General features: G+C 38.2%; 1 long non-coding RNA gene across 4 annotated transcripts in view; it reads left to right on the top strand.

Annotated features, from left to right (window-relative positions):
* The window catches only part of LOC105370512 (uncharacterized), a 42,851-nt gene extending 24,433 nt beyond the window's left edge, over positions 1 to 18,418 (top strand). The window contains exons 1-3 of one of the 4 annotated variants that reach the window (XR_001750776.2): positions 4,048 to 4,239; positions 15,053 to 15,170; positions 16,644 to 17,215. This is a non-coding gene — a long non-coding RNA (uncharacterized LOC105370512). Of the gene's footprint in view, positions 1 to 4,047; positions 4,240 to 12,649; positions 12,868 to 15,052; positions 15,171 to 16,643 lie in introns of those variants that run through there. The other 3 variants (XR_943900.3, XR_007064183.1, XR_943899.3) reach the window with 3 other exon arrangements.
* The last annotated feature ends 4,689 nt before the right edge of the window (positions 18,419 to 23,107 follow it).

Genomic DNA, 23,107 nt, shown 5'->3' on the forward strand with positions numbered 1-23,107 from the left:
CCTCTGAAAAATGAAAGCAAAACAATCATAGCTCTTAGATTCAATAAAAATTCATTTGGTTTAAACCTTTAGATGATGACAGAAAGAAGAATACTGCAGTTTGGAGGAGGTAGACTGAAAGTTCTTTCTCAAACGTTCATTGTTTATCAACTCCCACTGCCTCCTCCCTACCTCTCTGCAGCCTTCCAAAATTTAAAAGGCCCTTTATGGGGCAGGCTGGGGAGTCTCTGCATGGAACTGTGTATGGATTCTAGTCTGTGTCTGTTTGGTTGATTGATTGGTGAGTAGGTGAGTTGATTGGTGAAATAAAGAAGGATTAAAGAGTGTATAGAGACCTCCAGTCATAATGTCACATATGTTTATACTTTGATGTACTCATGCAAAACACATGGCAAAAATGGGTTTATTAATGTGAACTGTATAAGACTGCTGATATTTTATCATTTTACCAAGAAACTAGCAATTTCATATGGTCCAGTCTGGTAATGTAAAGAGAGAAAGAAAAGCAAAATGACATAGGATCAAAAATAAAACAAACATAACTTAAGATTTGGGAAAGAATCACTAAGTGATGAAAGGGGCTGAAACCACTGGTATATATGGGATCTTGAACTCAGACAGTGGTATATAGGAGTTTGGCTCTTGTAGGGTAATGAAGACTCAACATGCTCTGTGTGAGATTTCTGAAGCTCACTGCTTGAATTAGTGGAGCCACCCTGATCCTAAGAGGAGTCTGAAAAAAGCTACTTCAAACTGTTGTCTGGGGCAAGGCTCTTCACATGATACAGGTCTAGGAAAATAGGAAGAACCAGATATAATCTCGCAACCTGGAGACAAACTAAGCCACTGGCTGGCTAGATGAATCTGCATGTCACCAATATCACATCAAGGCAGGAAAACTGAACTTCTGTTATGTTGCCAGATCTGGAAGCTAACTAATGACATCCATAAAACCACTGCACAAGGATAATTGCGCATAGGGGGAGAAAGAGAATGAAAAACACTGAAAATTGACCTGCAAACTCAAAATGCAAAACATGCAAAGAAATTTAATGCTAACAAAGATGACAACTTTGAATCTTTAACATGAATTTATTTTAGAGGAAATGAATCTTTTAATAAAAGTTTTATATTAAGCCATAAAACAAAACTAAAGATAAACTAAGAATGAGAAAATAAATAATTAGAAATTTTCAAAATTAGAAAAATAGTCATTGAAATAAAAATTTAATAGATGCCGCTTACTTTAGATTGGAATGAATGAAGAGACAATAAATGAATAGGTAATTTGTACAGGACATAACACAGAGAGACAAAGAGTTTAAAATTATGGCTGAACTGTTAAAAGATACAGGATAAATGAAAAATCTCCAACATATATCTAATATAAATGCTAGAAAAAGAGATGTGAAAGAATAATAAAGAGTAATTATGTGAAGAGACAATAACTTTAACTTCTAGTTAAGAAAGCATTTATTACTGCTTCCTACCAAGATTTTACTAACATGACAGTAAAAATATCACAAATAAATCGATTAAGTTATAGCTAGGAGAAATGAAAACAGATCCAAAACTTAAGCTTGAAAATAAATGAATAAATTATAGCAGATTTGGTGAATGAGAGCTTAAGCCAAATCCACAAAGGGAGAAGTCAACAGTAACCAACATGATTTATACTTCAAAAAACAAGAATGGTTCAGAAATTGGAGACTTGGATATATCTAACAGGAAAATTGGTTGAAAGTCTTTATTGAAGAAGCAGTGAACTACCCAGATCTCCTTTTTCACCAGGTCCAGCCAAGTCAAGTCACCACCCCTCCTCACTCTCTGGGAAAAGACTGGAGTTTTGTTTGTTGAAGAAGTTATAGTGAGGGACTCTGGAATCAGGGAAAACAGGAACAGATGAAATGACTTAATTCTATTCAGTACAATTACAAGTACTGAAGAAAATGTGTTTCTAGATTACCAGGGCCCACCAAATTCTCCCGCAAAAGAAAAAGACCCACACCAATGTATGTTATTTTGAAATTCCAAGTCCCTGGAGATTAAGAAGAGTATCCTGAGGTCAGGAGCTCAAAACCAGCCTGACCAACATAATGAAACCCCATCTCTACGAAAAATACAAAAATTAGCCAGGCATGGTGGTGAGTGCCTGTAATTCCAGCTAACTGGGAGGCTGAGGCAAGAGAATCTCTTGAACCCAGGAGGCAGAGGTCGCAGTGAGCTGAAATCGTGCCACTGCACTCCAGTCTGGGTGACAAGAGCAAAACTCCATCTCAAAAAAAAAAAAAAAGAATCTAGTATGTTTTAAATATTATTTATAAAAGTTCAAGCACAAAATATCAAGAATAAGAAATGTAAGCTGCCCAACAGCAAATTCTGAGAAAATTTTTTAGTCTAGAATTCTCTTTCTCTGTCTCTCTCTTTTTTTTTTTTTTTTTTTTTTTTTGAGATAGGTCTCACTCTGTCACCCATAATGGAGTGCAGTGGTGTGATCTCGGCTCACTACAGCCTCTACCTCCTGGGCTCAAGTGATCCTCCCACCTCAGCCTCCTGAGTAGCTGGGACATGAGCACCACCATGCCCAACTAATTTTTTCTTTTATGTAGAGATGGGATTTTGCTGTATTGCCAGACTGGTCTCAAACTCCTGGGCTTAAGTGATCCACCTGCCTCAGCTTCCCAAAGTGCTAGTAGTCTAGAATTTTATACTAGGCTACTGTAGTCTATTCATTCTAGAGAATGAAATAAAGATCTTGTTTTTCAGGCATGCAAGGTCTCAAAAAATTTACTTTCTGTGCACCCGTCCTCAGAAAGCTGTTTGAGAATATACTCCATCAACATCAAAACATAATCCGAAAAAGGACAAAAGCATAAGATCTAGGGAACAGTGAATTCAATTAGAAAAGAAGAAAAAGGAATCGAGATGATTAAGGGAGATTCCTGGATTACAACTGTGCAACCAACCTAGGAAGCAACCCCTTCAGATTGTAAGAGGAGGTTGAAGGACTCCACGAGAGATATCTATAAGACATAAATAAAACTGGCAGATTATCTGATGTGTCTGATCATATAAAAATATGTTTTAAATTTGGATTAATGCCAGGTATATAAAAATTTAACTGAATAAAAGAACAAGGCAATTATTTGTATAGGGGAAATAAAATTTTTCAATAGAAAAATGTGATCACAGCATGGCTCAGTTATGAATAATAATAGTTATAATAGTGCAAATGTTCCCTCAGTTTAACTAAAATTATAACATAACTATATTGGAAGGATGGAGATTGCAAAATGTGTGTTTGAGGAGGGTGAGGATTAAAAGGGATAAATTGTTATCCCTCATGTTAGAAAGTCAATAGATAAATCTAAAACTAAAAAAAAAATAATAGTATACAAATGTTATTTTTAATAATAGAAGTAAACTCTAAAAGAAACAGCTAAAATATTTAAAAGTAGAAAGTGGCTGCTTCAAAGGAGCAAAAAAAAAAAAATCAGGACTGGAGAAAGGTGAGGCAGGAATTTGCTGTTTTTCATTCTGTCTTACAGAAATATTTTACTATTAAAATTTTGTGCATGTATTTTTATTTAGATAAAAATTGAATTAAAAAGCCAAAGACAATAGCTAAGAATATTTTATGACTCCTCAGATGACATACACTCCAAATACCCAACAGAATAAATAAAAATAAATCTATTCCTAGACATGTTAGAGTGAAATAGAAGAATATAAAGGACAAAGAGAAAGCTACCAAACAAAGGAATAAAAGTTAGATTGGCAGAGGCTTCTTTTTAGAAGGAACTTTTAGACTCTTCAGAAACAATAGGCACTATGGAGACATAATTTCAAAGTGTTGAGGGTAGAAAAGCGCTGTCAACATACACATTTATACCGATATAAACTGTCATTCAGGAATAAAACTAAGACTTTTTAAAAGAAAGACTAACATATCTGATATGGTTTGGCTGTCTCCCCACCCAAATTTTTGTAATCCTCATAATCCCCACTCGTCTAGGGAGAGACCTGGTGGGAGGATACTGGATCACGGGAGTGGTTCCTCCATGCTGTTCTCCTGGTAGTGAGTGAGTTCTCACGAGATCTGATGGTTTTATAAGGGACTCTTTCCGCTTGGCTCCTCACTCTTTTCTCTCCTGCCGCCAGGTAAAGAGAGTCTTTGCTTCCCCTTCATTTTCTGCAATGATTATAAATTTCCAGAGGCCTCCCCAACCATGTAGAACTGTGAGTCAATTAAACCTCTTTCCTTTATGAAGTTTCTTTATAGTAATGTGAAAATGGACTAACACTATATCACTCATAGAACAATAAGAGGATGTACATCCTCTAAAAGAACGATTAGAGAATGTACTTCAATACACATCAAAGTGAATTCAGGGGAACAGAATAGAAAAATTGATAATGGCAAATTTCATCAACAATTATATGTTTATTTACAAAATTATTAAATTTTTGTGCTTTTAAAATAAGGTAGAACCAAAACTCTAGGGAACAATAACACAAGGAAGGAAGTGTTAATGGGTAGCTAAAACCTGTTCAGGTCCTTATGGCAGGGAAAAAAGAGAACCCAGGTATACATTTTGAAAATTCAAGGGTATTCACCAACAGAATAGAAGTAGTAATGCTCTTATCCAGTTGGAGTGTAAGCTTGTATAACTTTAAAAAGCAAGTTGGCAATACCTAATAAAGTTAAAACTGTACAAACTCTAAAACCTAGGAATTCCATTTCTAGATGTAGATGCCAGAGAAACTCTCAAAACTTGCACAAGAGATGTGTATGAGAATGTTCATTGCCACATTGTGATGCAAAACGTTAGATGCAACCCAAATGCCAATAAAAGAAGAATGGTTAAAAAAATTGTTAATGGTTAAACAAATGTATTCATACAATGAAATATTATATAGCAAAAAAATTAATGGATTTAACTAGAGTAACATATATAAACTACATCAATCTAAAAACATCGAGGACAAAAAACAAGTTATAGGATGTGTGCAAAATAATATAATTGCATAGTTTGAAAACACACAAAACGATACAACTCTATGTTGTTTATCTGCAGTAAAAGTATACAAATTGCTTGGGAATTGGAAACACAATACAGGATAGAGTTTACCTCTGAGAAGAAAGGAGAGCACATGGAATTAGGGAGAGGTAGTTAGGTGACTTCAACTGTGTACGTAACATTTTCTTGTTTTATTTCGTTGAATATGAAGCAGTTGAGCAAAATGTTAAGATTTGTCCAAACTGGGTGCTGAGAACACAAGTGTTCATTTTCCTGTTCCTTATGCTTCTCTGTATGTTTGAAATATTCCATAGTTTTAATAATTTTTTTTTTTTTTTTTTTTTTTGCTCAGGGGCACCAGGCCTCAACTAAAAATAATACTTAAAAAAGAAAGTGATCCAGAAGCCCAAGAGAAGGAATAATAAGAAAAAACTTCACAGGACTTAGCATCGCACTATTTCATAAAATCAGGAATGCAGCTGTCTTATTCATTGTCATGTTGATACCATGTCTAACATGTAGTTCATGCTTAACAAATATTAATTGAATGAATAAATTAGGATGTGTTAGGAGTAAGAGAAATAAAATACACCAGGAGTGGATGAGGGATGCCCATAATGACAGCAGTGGCCTTTGAATATTTTTGTTCACATAACACTGATTTTCCAAAATAATTTTGAAAAATGATGTAGCCCTTGCACATTTTAGATTGACACCCCCCAAAAAATCATCATTAGCTGAATAGTTATGAAGGGTGTAATTTCCAGCATAGTGTAACTATTGACTATTAAAAATAAAACCTTTACATTGCCCTTTAAAACATATCCAAAGGAATCTAACTACTATAGTAATTTCATACACATTATCCACTTAAAAAATGAATGTGTTATATCTAAGAAAAGAATTCTGTTATCTCAAAAGATATATAAAGATCAATGCAAAAAATGAGGGAAATATATAAGCTCAGCTTTTAAAATGGGAAATTTTACATTATTCCTTTTTGTTCTTCAAGTTTCCCCCGAAGAAATTTATCTTAATGTAGTAATTTTACTTACAAATCTTACTTTTTTTACTCCATTATACTTTGCAACAAAAAATTGTGTGTATGTGTGTGTGTGTGTGTGTGTGTGTGTGTGTATGGAATTTAATGTTTCAATTGCTTGTGACTAAGTCTTTAAATGATAAAATTTCTTCTGGATTGGTCATCAATATAAGTTTTAGAAATATTAATGAAAATAGCAAAAATATGTTAGAAAGTTTGATAATGTTTAAACACAAAAGTAATATTTTATTGAAGATTTATTTCTTAATATGAATAGGGCATGTAAAATTTTCACCTTAATCATTTGTTAGTAGATGGAGATACTGCTAAAATAAGGTAGAGTTCAACAACAATTTTATTCCCATTTTGTTTTCATTGATATAAACTGAGAAACCATATTTAGCCAAGTGCAGCCTGTGTCCGCAAAAGCTTTGGGATCAGTCTGCCTGAGTTCAAATCCCAGCTCTTGTCATTTCCTACCTCTCTGACCTTGGACAAACAGTTAACCTTTCTGAGCTTTCTTTTTCATCTGTAAAACAGGGATGATAATAAAACTTACCTTATGGGGTTCTTGTGAGTATTAAATGGGTTAATGCTTGTAAAGGGCTTAAACCTGTCCCTGGCATATAATAACTTTCTCCAAGTATTTAAGCAAAGTGCTGAATAAGTAGATGGAATAGAAAGAGGTTTGCTGTAATAGAGTTCCCAATTGTGTTCATCCGTCTGAGTTATTTGTAAAACAAAAAATCACATAATGATCTATTATCCAAAATTATTTTTAACAATATATGAGGTGACAACTAGATTCAGTCTTCGTTTAAAAGCTAAGAATTGAAAACCACCTGACATGAGAAAGAAATTGCTACCCAGTCATCAGGATCATTTCCTTTCTCAGTGCCTACACTAATGTCCCTAACTTTGCTTGGTGACTCAGAGGTTTTTACACCCCTGGATCATCAGTAAAGTTATAAATGAGAAAGCAAGAAGGCTTTTCTTGCCTTTTTTGATCAAGCGGCAAAGGCAGATTGTAAAATGGATTATTTGTCTGAAAGCAAGGTAACAAGATCGGTTATAGGTAAGGGTGCATCTGGAAGTCTGAAATCTTCACATTGACCCCAATAGAACTACGGTTGATGGTGAACCTTGGACATTTCTGTGACTCCCCAGCAGCTAGCGCTTCCCTGTTGGAGGTCTACCGATGAGATTCTGGCTCTGGGGGTGGCAGCAGCTATGTGGGATCCACTTTAGTCTGCACCAAAGGAAGCAGCTGGAATAACTTAGTTCCAGGAGGGACGAATAGCCTTTCCTTAGCTCACAGGACAGAGCATCTCTGGCAGTCAGCAAACTGGGAGCTGGAGAGCAGCTGAGCTTGTGAACTGATTTGTGTTTCAGGCGTCACCTTCCAGCATTGCATAAAGCCCAGAGGGCAAAATTCTCTCTACAGCCAAGGACTCATCAGCCTGACCCAAATGCTGGGTTTGAACCACAGATGTGGCTTTGCTTTAATCACATATTGGTATCAAATTCTTCTATACAAGAACGTCCTCTTTGTATTGGTTGAAAATGGGATTTTTAGCTGTATCCCTACACACACACTTTAAACCTACAAGTGAATTCAAATAGCCAGTTATTTTAAAAATTACCAGCTATTTTTTAAAATTCCAGATCACAGCTGGCTAGGAAATGCTTTTTTGGTTTTCATGAGATGCATGTGGGTGTGGTGGCACACACACACACACACACACACACACACACACACACAGCCTTTGCCAAGAGGTGCCCACTGGGGCTCTTATTACCCCAGAGGCACATCTAACCTGCTTCTGGACTTAGGCACTAACACATTTCAAATACCAATGAAATATCACCTCATTGGGACTGCTCTCAGGTTATCAGTTATTTTGGGGGGACTGGGAGAGGTAAGATGTGCACAGGGTATCATTTAATTTGTTGAAATTATGTATATTTGTGAGAGCATTTGCCATGCCTCAAATGCTTTATGTAATTTTATAAAGTCATCTTGTAATCAAAAGCCAGGATTTAGAGAGTAGGCCATTCCCATAGAAAGAGAGAATGAAAAGGGTTAAAGAAAAGATAAAAAGCTATACTTCAAAAGGTCCTACAAGATTATTTATAGAAACAGCATCAGACAATGAAAACTGACAAAATTATTTCCCGATGTTACATGGTCTGGTATCATCAAGGGAACCTTGCATCTGATTAAAAATAATTATTGCTGGCATTAAATCCAGTTGGAATCACCCCACACGATTTATCTTCTATTTCATGCTGCTACCATATGCCTGACATTGTGGTACAGAAACATTCTCTTTCATTCTGATAAGTAGTACTTTGTAAATATTTAGAGACGGGAGCTCTGGATCGCTGAACAATTCTGACAGGGAACATGTGCAATCGAGCCCGTTATTCATGTTCCTGAGAGAGACTCTCTTTGAGATGTGGGACCCAAAAGCATTCGTGAAACTGAGAATTCCTTTCCCAACATTCTTGTTCAGAATTAGCAGCAATTGGAGGAGCATGGTTGGGCACTCTACATGAGCCATGCTGCCCCAAGGGCGCACATACATCAGTGAGACATTTTGCTGTCTGGCATGTGCTGGATAAGTTGATAAAACTGCTACATTTATTCAACTGGCTTTTCCTGGAACATTTGATTCAAGAAACCATACCTAACATGACCTTATTTGGAGACAGGGTCTTTACAGAGGTAATCAAGTTAAAATGAGGTCCTTAGGACAGATCCTAATCCAATGTGAGTGGTGTCCTTACAAAAAAAAAAAGAAAGAAATTTGGACACAGACAAAGAGGGAGGACAATGTGAAAAGATGAAGATGACCATCGACGAGAGAGAAGACGGCTATCTTCAAGCCAAGGAGAGAGGTCTGGACAGATCCTTCCTTATGGCCCTTAGAAGAACCCAACCCTGCCAAGACCTTCATTTCAGACATTCAGCCTCCAGCGCTGTGAGACAATACGTTCCTGTTGTTTAAGCCACTCAGTTTGTGATATACTGTTACAAAAGCCTTAGCAAATTGATATAGAAAGACTCCATACATAACACTCTTTGTAGACTTCTATTTGGAGAATTTGAGTCTCCGAAGAGAGAGAACTTTTACTTCACTCTTCAGGAGGCTGCTGCCTAGAGGAATCCTTGTCCTTCTTTACCTTCATGTGAAGAGGAGTGAATCATGGGACACACTGGTGCATCATGGGTAACTGACTGTGTGTGTCCCGGTGTTTCTCTCTTTGAAACTGTCAGCCCTCAGACTCTGCTTCCTCTTCACCACTCCTGCTTCCATGTGGCAAACTGTCCACACCAGGCTGCTCACTGCCTGCACAGGGGCAGCCATCTTTCCTCTAGTGCTTGACTTGGGCTCCATTCAGGGAGAGTGGTAAGAAGTCCCAGGGCAGGCTCATGCTTAGCTGGCTTTCTAGCTAGCATCTACAGTGATAAAGTTTGTAGTTTGATATCTGTTGTCTCAATCCCTTGTGAGAATAATCTGTTAGCTGGGACTCTGGTACCCTGAATAAACCCCTTCGAGTTTATTTGACTTAAATACTAGATTGTGTGGGTCCCTGACTCTTCTGGGGACTTGAATTGGGCTATGGTGCTCATCCTTCTTGTTTATGTGTGGGAGTACTATCCCCCCAATTAGAATTTTTACAGGAGCATTTTAAAAACGTAATTGCAACATTCGGTTATCATTGGATTCAAGTTGGAAGTTTCTGCTCTTGTCATTTATGGATATCTGACATCTCCCCCCAAATGAGGAAACTTGTCAAATTGACATTTCTTCTGTGATAGTTGATGATGTTTCAAGAAGCCTATAGAAAATCATTCTCTGAAACTTCCAGATCATTTCCAAGGGACTTTTTTTTTTTTAAAGCAACACCCCATCTTTCCCAAGGAGATTCTACTCCTGTTCAGAAGAATGCAATTTTAAACTTAGCAGCTGTCAGGAGCAAGGCTGGACATCTTAGGACATTGTACCTGGAAACACAAATCAAACTGTTTTTTCTCTGCTTTCCAACCACAACAACAATCAACACAGAACACTTCTTTGACCAAATGTGTGTGTGGGGTTTCCCCCACCAACACTCAAGCACTCAATTCTGCAGTGGACACCAGTTGGGAGTCCTCTAATTCAATTCCAACACTATCCTCCTGGAGATAGTGTTAGATTCCCACAGGTTGAGGGCTCAGTCCCCAAGACTGTCCTTCCCACCTCTGATGCCTGTCACAAGCCCCAGGCAATGTTGCCTGTGTTTCTGACCAACAAGCTATGTATCAGAGTTCCCACAACCCCCTCCTCAGGTTTGAATAATTTGCTAGAGTGGCTCGTAAAACTCAGGCAAACATTCACTTATTATCAGTTTTTTGCAAAAGATACTTTAAAAGACACAAATAGTCAGGTCAAGAGATATATTGGCTGAAGTCTGGAAGGGTCTCGAGCATAGGAGCTTCTATCCCTGTGGAGTTGCGGTGCACCACCCTTTCACCTGCCTGTAAGCCTCCATGTGTTCAGCTGTCTGGAAACTCTTCTAACCCTGCCCTGAATCTTCAGTCCCTCTCCTCTCCCTAGAGGTTGGGAGGTAGAGCTGAAGGTCCCAACCCTCTAATCCTGCCATGGTCTTTCTGGTGACCAGTCCCCATGCTGAAGCTGCCTAGGGGTTGCCAATCATGATTCAACTCATTAGCATACAAAACACATCACTTTGGAGATTCTAAGGACTCTAGGAGTTGTATGTCAGGAAACAGAGGTCTAAGACCAAATATATACTTCACAATATCACAGTCATTTTATATCTTACCTGCTCATTGTTAGAAATCATTTATTCATCTTAACTACATCTTCCTAAATATTTGCTATGTGTAATTTATCAAGGTAAAAGAGTTTTTCTCCTCAGCAAAGTCAGAAACTGGTAGCTCTTTGATATAAAAAGTGAACTGTGCCAAAAATAATTGGCACAGTTGTCATGACATACAAAGAGCAAGAGGAAGAAATGGGAGAAAAATGTAAGGCAAAGAAGCAAATTCATTGTTATTAAAGTGTTCAAAGTATCTGCCCTAGGAAGTTAGAGAGCTGGCTTTCCATGTTCTCCTGAAACTATGGACCAGAGCCCAGCCATGCTGTCAGAAAGACGGAGGGAGGAGCGAGAGAGAGGAAGAAGGAGATAATAAGAGAATGCTAGTAAAGTTTTGAAACACAGAGAAAAAGGAGGAAATTATGTGTCTTCATATATTTTCTTCTGGTTAAGCATACATAGACAAAATCAAACACCAAGGCTTTTCTAAATAGTCACCAATTCCTTTTTTTTCCTTTTTCTTTTTCTTTTTTTTTTGAGATGGAGTTTCACTCTGTCACCCAGGCTAGAGTGCAGTGGCATGATCTCAGCTCACTGCAACCTCCCCCTCCCAGGTTCAAGCAATTCTCCTGCCTCAGCCTCCCGAGTAGCTGGGATTACAGGCGTCCGCCACCACGCCTGGCTTATTTTTGTATTTTTAGTAGAGATGAGGTTTCACCATGTTGGCCAGGCTGGTCTCAAACTGCTGACCTCATGATCTGCCCACCTCAGCCTCCCAAAGTGCTGGGATTACAGGCATGAGCCACCACGCCCGGGCCACTTTATTTTTCTCTATCAAATTTGAAGACTCAGAAGCTCTACTGGACAGGATGGAAAACACCAATCTCAGCTCTTCTTGGGGCTCTCCAGCCCACTCATTACATAAAGGCCCTGCGGGTCAATTCAGCACAGTCTGGCCTTTTGTCTTCACTGGGTACCGCTGAAGTGCTTGGGCCCATGTGGTCCTTTTATAGCAGTCAGCAATCTCAAAAGCCTGGGGACTCTAGCACCAAGGACACAGACTTCCCTAAGAATACCACTCTGTCATTTTCCTCTTGGGTTGGCAAGCTCCATAAAGTGCTATAAGGGTTAAGTCTTGAAAACCTTGGAATGCGCAAAGCTCAACTCTAATCTAGTCTCAAAGACTCTTCTGCGCCCTGGGTCTCATATCATTTCCACTTCTAATACTGCAAATACTTCCCAGTAAACCATCCTCTTCTGATGAATCCTTAGTGACTGTCTTTCAACCAGTCTTTGGAAATATACCCTGAGGATGGGGCTGGGGTCAGGACTGCTGACACTGGCCAGCTTTCTTTTACCACTTACCCAACTATACTCTCATTTGGTATTCACTATCTAGAACTTGATGGCTTGGTACCTTTTCAACTTCAGTGTCTCATCTGCCCCACTAGTTCTAAGTTTCTGCAGACGTTGACCATACATCAAAAGTCCTGAAATTCCCTACAGTGCCAGGCAGACAATGATTTATTTTTATTGACAGAGAAAATCAGTTAGCTAGGTTTTTCCTTTCATTATTTCAGCCCATTGTGCCCCCTTTCTCTTTACTGAAACTTCCAGAAAGGGAGGTTTTCTTATAGGGCCTTTTTTCAAGGAGAAAGAGATTCACTATAACTTCTAAGTAATATTTATTTTATAGAACTTGGTTCAAACATTATTACTTCTCTGAAACTTTCCCTGATTTCTCTGAATATGAGTAATATTTCTTTTCTACAACCCCCCACCTCCATAAAATATTTTAGCCCCTTTTCTTTTTTTCTCAGCCCTAGATATTGAAGAGGTGACAGTGAAGTGGCTGAAAGCACAGATTCTGGAGCCAAATTGCTTGAATCAAAAATCTGGCTATGCTCCTTCCTAGGTTTGCAACTTTGTGCAGGTTTCCTCATTTGGAAAAAATGATTACAATAGCACTTATCTCACGTAAGAATTATATGAATTTATACATAGAAAGTACTTGAGGCAAAGTAGATATTTAATATACCTGAACTATTAACATATGCTGATTTGACTAACGGCACTTTGCTGTTAATTTAGACATCCCTAATCATAATAGCAAAAAAATGACAATAACTTGGAGTAAATGGAAGAATTTTTAGAATAAATCACTGACAGAACTAAAATAATGACATGTTTCCAAAACAAGGCCCTTTGATGATCGGCTTTAAACAGAAGAAAATAATCTGTAGTTAGCGTATCAATTTTTAGAGTGCTTCTAAAGTACCTGAGTGTTGAAAACACTCCAGCACATTAGAGACTTAATCTACTTTAAACATTGCATACTAGATATATGCACAATGTTTTACAAACCAAATAAATACAGGTGCAGTTGTCCATTTAGGAAGAAAAGTCACTATATTATTCTAAAAGTACCCAGTTACATGATGTCTAAAGGGTGACAAACGCTAACTTGGCCCAAATCAATGAAGTTTTTCAACATTGTAATTATTTATCTGAATATACCAAATGCAAATGACCTAGGATACTTCTAGGAACTGAGTTGTGCCCATATTTTGCTTTGCAAAGGGTGGTAGAGATGTGGCTTACCTTGAGATGCAGATCTATTTGCAGGCGGTTTATTGGGAGTACGCTGAGAAACAATACCCTTCAGGAAATGAAGGAAGCAGGACTGGGCAGAGGGAGATGAACGGTGATGCAGTTGCAACAGAGTCCTCTTTTGATGCCGTAGGAACCTCTGGAGCTTGAGTGGCCCTTCAGAATTATGCAAATCGAGGAAAGGGTCTGAGCCTTTGTATAGCCACCACTACCCACATCCACACCCACACTCATGTTCCCTCTTCACCCTATGCACTGACCAGCCTGGGAGGGAGAGGACATAACATCGGGTGAGGTAACTCCCTTCAGCTCTTGGCAATTTTTAAAGGGTAACTTTGCTGTGACCCTTCAGCAGCCAACACCGCAGGAAGCTGAGGGAATGAGGGTCTAGATTCTAAAAGCAGGATTTGGGTGCTGTACCACAGCATCCACTACACCACATGAAGGAGGAACAATTCATACAACTTGACTTTAACCTTTTGGTTTGCTATATCTCAACCAAGTGCTATAGGTTCTATTGCAGATGCTCGTTGACTTAACAATGGGGTTACATCCCCATAAACCCATAAGTTGAAAATATTGTAAGTTGAAAATGCATTTAATACACCTAACCTACTGAACACCATAGCTCAGCCTAGCCTACCGTAAACATTCTCAGGACACTTACATTAGCCTATGGTTGGGCAAATCCTCTCACACAAAGCCTATGTTATAGTAAAGTGCTGAATATCTCATGTAACTCATTGAATACTGTACTGAAAGTGAAAAACAGAAAGGTTGTATGGGTACTTGAAGTATGGTTTCTACTGAAGACGTATCTTTTTTGCACAATGGTAAAATCAAAAAATTTTAAGTTGAACTATTGTAAGACAGGGGCCATCACCATCTGTAGTGGATCCTAATTTCAGGGCTGAACAAGTTACCTGTGGACTAATTGCCTAGGGTTCTTCTGTGGAAATTGGAACTACTATATGAGAAGTAGCCATAATGGGAGAAAAGAGTCACCTAGATCTGTTTTAAATTGAATATCCATGAACAACCTCTTAACAAGGCTTATACCACTTTAATACAATAGGTTCCCAACCCCTGTGACTTTCTCCCCTAGGGTCAAAAGAATAGCTCATTCACCTCTTGCCTATTGCATTTATCTTGATTCTCCCTGGGCAAGAAAGGGGAATCAATCTGGCAATTATGTGGACAATGAAACTCATAGGATTTTCTTCCTATGTACTGAAAATGAGAAATTAGAAGGATTATATCATATCTGTACTGAAAATGAGAAATTAGAAGGATTTTGCCTCAGTATTGGAACTTGTACATATCTTGCTTCTTCATGGTATCATAATATAGCACACTTGTTTCAAATCTGATTAAAATCCAGAAGTAAAAAATGTGTATTAATTGATCCATGCATTTAGGTGAATAATAAATTGAATCCCTAGATTGATTTTTCTGGGGAAGCCTGTAAAGTAAGAAATCTTGCATTATTTATCACTGATCAACCAATGTAATGTTTAAGGTAGCTGAACTGGTGTCCATTCTGTCTCCCCAGGGAGAAGAGCAGGCTTATTTAAGAGAGATCAGATTTTTTTATACAGTATCAGATTTGTACTCCAAGTCTTTCAAAACTTGACAGAAGGGTCATCCAAAGCTGCCTTCCTGCTTTCCAGGTGAGTAAACCTGAGTAGAAGGAAAGACAATTCCTCTGTAACCTTAGAAAGAAGACAGTAGACCCAAGTGAAACCAAGTGTATTTTTACCAATCAGATGAGTCATTTTTCCCACAAGGTTAATTATCGTTAATGACTAATTAAGGAGTCATGTGAAGTATTTATCTTGAATAATGTGGATCCATGTGGTTTGTGCTATTGGATTTTAGCTCTCTGCTGTGACAGCGCTCTTCAAAACACCATATTGAGGTTAAATCTCTTTGGTACTATATGCTAGGGTTGTGAAGCCTGAGGACATATTTTACAGTGACACTGGCCAGGTTTAGCCTGGCTTTTAGCTAACTGTGGAGCTAGAATTATTCTTGTTCATTTGAGGCTTCCAGCTTGGAATTTGAAGATAAATGAGTCAGTTCCATCTATTCTCTAGCAATTAACTGATAATTGGGATGTTTAATCGGAAAACTGACTTGAAGGACGTTAGCCTGATTAGATGCGTTGGCATGAAAAACAGGTTCTACTCCTAGTTCATCTACATTCACATGCTATATTAACACCCTAACTCCAGATCAAACCCAAATCCAGCTTGTTAATGAATATCTAAAAAATAAATGAATACTTACAAAAATGCTTTCTGGAAACTTAATAGATTTAGAAGCCAATCTTCTACAGACTACTTGAGTCACTAATATTTATTCTACAGTTACTTACAGCTCACCTACTTAGGGCAAGGAAGGTGCTTATAGGTATGTAAACATTAATAATGTAGCTTTTGAATTCAAGAAGCCTAAGTCAACCTAAGTTTTTCTTAGAGTATAAATCAAGGTAAATAACACCCTCAGTTTCTTCTCTGAAAATCAGACAACCACCCAACTTCTTGATCCATACCATGAAGACACAATGGGCATGCAAGGTTTGTACCAAAATAATCAAGACTACACCTGTATTAGGGTTCTTTAGAGGGTCAGAGCTACTAGGTATATATAAAGGGGAGTTTATTAAGTATTAACTTACATGATCTCAAGGTCCTGCAATAGGCCATCTGCAAACTGAGGAGCAAGGAGAGCCAGTCCAAGTCCTAAAACTGAAGAACTTGGAGTATGATGTTCAAGGTCAGGAAGCAGCCAGCATGTGAGAACGATGTAGTCTGTGAGGCTAGGCCAGTCTCTCTTTTCACATTTTTCTGCCTGCTTATATTCTAGCCATGCTGGCAGTTGATTAGATTGTGGCCACCCAGATTAAGGGTGGGTCTGCCTTTCCCAGCCCACTGAAAAGTCAATAGTTAACTCTAGGCATGTATTACAGTTACCTGGAATGTTTTTAAAAACATAATAATGCCTGGACCACTCCTTCGCTGTGTTAAATCAGGATATCTGAGCATGGGAACTTTGCATCGAGATTTTTGAAGCAGCTTAGAGATTTTAACATGTTAAGAAATGCTGACAATAAGCAAATACAATTTTATTTAACTTTAAAGGTATGAATCCAGAGCTGCAGTCCATAAGGCCATAAGAAATATAGGCATGGGTATAAAGGGACATGGAAGCCAAAAAGCCATCATCTGGCCATCTGAATCTGGCCCTGCAATTGTCTCTTCACTCATGAATACGTGATTTTACTTGCCAGCAGAAACAGCTGACAGAGGATAGCCTCTGCCTCCCATCTGCCTTCCAACCAAGCAAGTATCATTTGATGACTTTTCACCTCTGCAGAATAGTACGACACCATAAAAGAGGGGTGGAAATGGGGTTGAGATCTACAGCCTAAGTATCCCTCACTGACTCCCAATATAGCCAGGTGATTTGACTGGTTATTTATTCTTGGCCTCCTTCAAGGTTTTCACCTGACCCACACAAACCTTGGTGTCCCCGAGGTTCTATCCTCAGCCATGGCTTTTCTTGCCCAACAGGCTAACGGATGATTCATACTTGGAGATTCGTACTTGGGAGATCACCTCCATTCTCTCGCCCTCAGCTAGTATTTAACTCAATATCTGTAGCTAACACCTCTCCCCTGAACTTCAAATTAATATATCCAACTCTCTGCCAGACAGCTCCAGTTAGATATTCCAGGTAATGTGAAGTCAACCTATCACTAAGGCTGTACTTGTTTCTCTTCTTATTGCGATTCCAGTTACTATGAATGTCACCATCATCGACCCAGGCACCCAGGCTGCATTCCTCAACTATATGTAGAGCTCATTCCTTTGCCTCATCTCTCATATTCGCTATCCAAGAACTACCTGTTTTGTCATCTAAATCTTTCTCATTCATCTTGTCCTCTCCAGCCCTGCTACCACTGTCCTAGTTCAAGCCCCTGTCGTTTCCCACCTAGATTTCTGCAGCAGCTTCCTAGTTGATTTTCCTAGATCCAGTCTTCAACTCAGCTCTGTCTTCTGTGTAGTTGACAATGATGGTATTATACACAAGCTTGATTACATCAGCTACCTGCTCAAACCTGTTCCATGGTTCTTCAACACCTGTTGCAATGGCCTTAAACTCTGCTGCACATCAAAATCTATATAGAGTCTATTATAAGGCATTATCTTGGGAGCTTAAAACTATCAATACCTAAGCCTCACTTCAGACCAATTGAATCAAGTCCCTAAGGTTAGAATTTGGGAATCAATATTTTTAAAAAGCTTCCTAAGTGATTTTAATATGTAGCTAGTGCATATGAGGCCTGATTCTGTGTTGGTTGTCTGTTGCTACCCAACAAAACTTTGTGCAACAACTCAGTGGCTTAAAAAAAATCATCATTTTATTATATCTCACAGTTTTGTGGATTGCAAATTCAAACAGGGCTTGTCTGAGCAAGCATTTTAACAAGTCAACAAGTCAACATTTTAACAAGCTCCTCAAGTAATTCCTATCTACAGTGAAGTTTGAGAATCAGTGACCTATAGGTCAAAGTCTAACATGCTTAAGTTATTTGAGGTCTTATTTTATCTGGCACTGGCCACACCTTGTCAGCTTTAACACTCTTCATTTTTCCCCCTGGACTTTAAGATTCAGGAACACTAACTAACTTAGTTTTCTGCACTTTATTCTCCATGCTTTCGTTCATTGGTCTCTCTGTTCTTTGTTGTTAGACACCAACAAAGAAAATGTAGTAAACTTAAAGACACAGCAATTGAAACCAAAATTAAACAGAGAGAGAAAAGACTAAAAAAAGAAAAGAAAAGCAGAGCATCAGTGAGCTGTGGGATAATTTCAGGTGGCCTAATATATACGTTTTAGAGTCCAAGAAGGTGAGAAAAGGAGAAGTGAGTAATATATATATATTATTATATATATGTATTTATATATTTATATATATATTTATATATAAAATTTATATATATAAATATATATTTATAAAATATTTTATATATATTATATATAATATTTAATATATATAATATATATTATATGAAACTTAATGACCAAAATGTTTTCTATTTCTTGCAAATTATAATTGTACCATTTCAAGAAGCTCAATAAACCACACACACACACACACACACACACACACACACAAATGAGGAAAATGACACTGAGGACATAATCAAATTGCTTAAAACTGGTGATGAGGAGAAAATCTTAAAAGTGGCCAGGGAAAAAAGATACATTATTTTTAGGAAAACACAGGTTAAAATTTGCATTTAGTCACTAGAAACAGTGCAAGCCAGGAAACAGTGGAACAACATCTTTGGAGTATTAAAAGTTAACAAAAAATTCTGGAATTCTAAACTAGGGGTAGTTCAGAAATACTTACCAAAAACAAAGACTTTTGAACATACAAAAGCTAAAAGAATCCATCACCAGCAAACCTGCATTTCTATGACATTAAAGAAAGTCTTCAGGAGGAGGAAATTAGTCCACCAAGTATCAGATGGAAATCAGAATCTACATATAAAAGTATGAGGCACACCTGTAAATATAGCAAATATTTTTCTTATTTTTAGTCAATTCAAAATAAGTGGCCATCTAAAACCAAAATAGTAACAATGTGTTGTGAGGTTTATAACATATGTAGAAGCAAAATGTATGAGAACAATAGACAAAGGCCCAGAGGGGAGAAATGAAAGTATACTGGTATAAGGTTCTTGTACTACATGTGAAGTAGAATAATATCACTTGAAGGTAGACTGTGATTAATGAAAGATATATTCTGTAACCCTTAAAGCAACCACTAATATAAAACAGAAAAGGTTGTAACTGCTAAGCCAACAAAGAAGAAGAAGGAGAAGAAGGAGGATGTGGAGGAAGAGGAAGAGGAAAGCGGAGGAGGAAGAAGAAAGTGAGCATAAAGCCTGGAAAGGAAGAGGTAAAACTTGTCTTTACTTGCAGACAACATGATTGTGTATGGAGAAAATTCTACCAAATCTCCAATAACAACAACAACAAAAACAAAAACTAAAGCGGCATGATATGAGGTAGATAATTTAAAAATCAGTTGTATTTCTTTATACTAGCAGTAGACATAAATTTAAAGACAGTACTATTTACAATAGCATCAAAGATATAAAATATATGGGGGTACATTTGACAAAATATATGCAGGACTTTTATACTAAAACTAAAAAGGATTGTCAAGAGAAATTAAAGAAGACCTAAATAAATGGAGAGATACTGTGTTCGTGGATCAAAACACTCAATGTTGTTCATCTATCAAGTTGATCTATAGATTTAATGCAGTCCCAATGAAAATTCCAGCTGGTTTTTGAAGAAACTGACAAGCTGATCCTAGAATTCTAGAAGATCTTGAATGACCAAAGAAACTTTGAAGAAGATTCTACCTTTTTAAGAAGGTTCCTAGACATGATGCTGTTGCTAAGCCATAGACCACATTTTGTGTAGCAAGACAATACTGTATGAATATAACTAGATTTATATGTATCAACATAGATATATCTTAAAATAGTAGAAGGAAAAAAACAGTTTCAGAAAGATTTGTACAGTATGATAGCTTTGATGTCAAAATGTAAAAAACACAGAGTAGTACTATACATTGTTCACAGATACAAATTTAAGAGGAAAAAAGATTAAAAACATATACGTGGAGCTCAAAAAACAGGAAAGGTTGATTGTAAGAGGAAAGAAAAGGGAATAAATAGTGCTGAAGCGGGAAACAAGAATTTGCACTTTAACCCTAATTATATGTTTTATTTATATTAAAAAACCCTGAAGGTAAAATCTAGAAGAATAACATTTTTTTCCTTCTGTTGGATGTGTATACAGAATTTTATAGCATAAGGTAAACTTTGACATATTTTAAACTTATAAAACAAATGCAAAAGGAAATTCATTTCCCTTTCCAACCTATTACACATTACAACTTCTATAATATTAATAGTGCCAGATCCAACCTATTACACAGTTCAACTTCTATCACAACCTATTACAAATCCAGCCTATTACACAGTTCACCTTCTATAATACTAATAGTGCCAGAAACCTCCACACCCAGTACAAAGGTGGTATGTTGTTACTGGACCTTGAAGACAGCCTCACCAAAGCCTCACAAAATACAAGGTAGCATCAGATAATGTCTTGGTAGAGACCCTAGCACACTCTCATTTTTGTGGCCTCAGGCTCCCTAAGCGAATGCCACTTTGCAATGATATTTTCTTTCTTTAGTCATCAGCTTGTGCTCTAGTGTAGTTGAAATTTATGGACTATACATGTATATGACTGATGCAATTTGATTATAATGTGATATTTTGCATGTAGGTGGCAATGCTATGCTTCAAATGCAAGTGTGGGAATAGCTGTAGCCATATGATGTTAAAGGGTGGGATACTTTAGCCTGGTCACATATGATTTGACAAGACAGTGCAGCCTTCATGCCTGGCTGCTCTCTTTCAGAGACAGGTCAACATTAGCTGGCCTCCTGAAAGGAAGAGCTCCAGAGCAGTTTAAGGAATGAGGATAGTCCCTAGTTTGTATTACTATAGTTGCAGCTCCTGAGACCTTTTAAATTCAGGTTATTTCTTCCCTCAAATGGATAGAGAAGGACCCAACTTCCCAGGAACACATAGGCCGTCAGAACAACTCCTTCCTCACAGCCAGATTGCATTGAGTCCCACCTGAATTGGTGAGAAACTTTAGCCCTTTAATTTTATATGAATCCTCCCTCTTCCCCCAACTCGGTAATGGGAGGACAGTGAGTGCCATTAAAGTGTGGTTGTTTTTGATGTCTACTCTGAGTCTGTGCTTTTGTGTAGAAGAAAAAGGTCACACTTCACTTCCGGAATTAGAGAATGGATCTTAACCACACTGGGAGACTTAGTTGGGTGCAGGGCTCCCCTCAGCTGTGATGAGGGAGCCTCGGCTTATGATCCAGCCTTCCACTTACTTATCCAGCCTCTGCAGTCAGTGTCAAGCCCAGAATCTGCAGTCTGGGCCCTGGCAGGTTCACAGAGGTGCCCCTCTAGAAATGGAACTTGGCCCTTGTCCCTCTAGGCACCTGTGAAGGTGGGAATCCATTGCAGTCATTGTTGGGGAAACTGGAATGATGCCACTGTACCTTGAGGCCAGAGATCTTGTCACCACTCTGGCAAAAAGAGAAGAATGATCTTCTGTATTTTGCCCAAACACGGAGGCAGGGAAAGAGAAGGAAGAGTTGTCAGGAAGGGTTATCGAGCCCGAAAGTGCTGCAGTGCTTAATATACAGCCATTCAGTTTCACAAAGCTAAGCTTTGTTTCTACAACAACACATGCTGTCACCTGCACTAGGTCGGGATGACTCTGGTATCACCTGTTGGACCATTTCTGAAATCCCCTTCCATTCTGGTTTCCTGGGCCAGACTCCTTGTTCCCTGTGATAACTTTTCTCTGAAGACTTGAATGTCCTTCTGGCTCCCATTGAGATCAAGCCAGCCCATCAGACATGGCTGCAATTCCCAACAGTGGACAGGATCAAGTCCTTTGTCTTCCCCAGGAAGCTTCAGTCCCCTTGTAAATTAGTGGAAGGGAGAGCAAATGTCAAGGGGAGGAGCAGAGTCCAGTCCTACTTACCAGAAGCTTCAAGGGCTGGTTAGTGCCTCATGGAGACTCTGTTGTCAGCAGGTTACCCCTTGTTTCCCTTTGGTTTCCATTTGATTCTAACATGAACTCTGTGAGCTGGATAGTATCTAGATATTCCAGTTGGGACTCAGTGAATTATAAGTGAAATGGTCATTTACAGAAGAGAGAAATTAGTCAGAGAAGGTAAAATGAGCCGCATTTTAAAAGAGAAAGATTTAGAAAGTAACTGTGAAAAGTGACATTTTAAGTTCAGAGTGTTTAGGGAGGGTTAATAGCCCAAGCAAATAATTCAAAGACAGAATGAGCTTGGTACACATAGGGAGAGAGTGCACAGACAGCCCTGCTGGGACAGAACTTATGATGGTCCAGATTCAGATAAGTGGAGTGAGGCCTGTCTCCAGGGGTATCCAAAGTTAGGCAGGTGAGGCAAAGGATGTTATTAAGCAAGGACAGAAAGATCTCCTAGTATAAAAATTCTGTGGGCTGAGGACAGGGCCAAGAGAATGACAGGAGAGAAAAATCTTGGGGACAGTAGGTTGGAAGTTACCGCAGCAACTCAAGCAAGAAAGGCCCAATCTAGGGTGGGAATAGAAAAGAAAGGACAAATCTGAGGCATTTCAGGATAATAGGCCACAGTAACAGACAGAGGATAATGAGGATGTAAGAGTCTAAAGTGTGCAGGATATAAATGGGACTGTAGAAAACAGGAGCCATTTTGGAAGGAAGAACCAATTATCTTTGGGACATGTTACACTTGAAGCAACGGAGCAGTTTGAAATCCAACAAAAGATAAATTTTTAAAGAAAGTATCTATTAATTATAAAGTTGGAGTTGAACTCTTGAGAAGAGCAATTTAAGACTTAGTTTCTATATTATAAAGTAGCCCTTCAATGTCTGAGATTTTCCAAGGTAGACCTGCGTGAAGTGGTCT

This window comes from Homo sapiens, chromosome 14, assembly GCF_000001405.40.
Source record: "Homo sapiens chromosome 14, GRCh38.p14 Primary Assembly".
Classification (NCBI taxonomy): domain Eukaryota; kingdom Metazoa; phylum Chordata; class Mammalia; order Primates; family Hominidae; genus Homo; species Homo sapiens.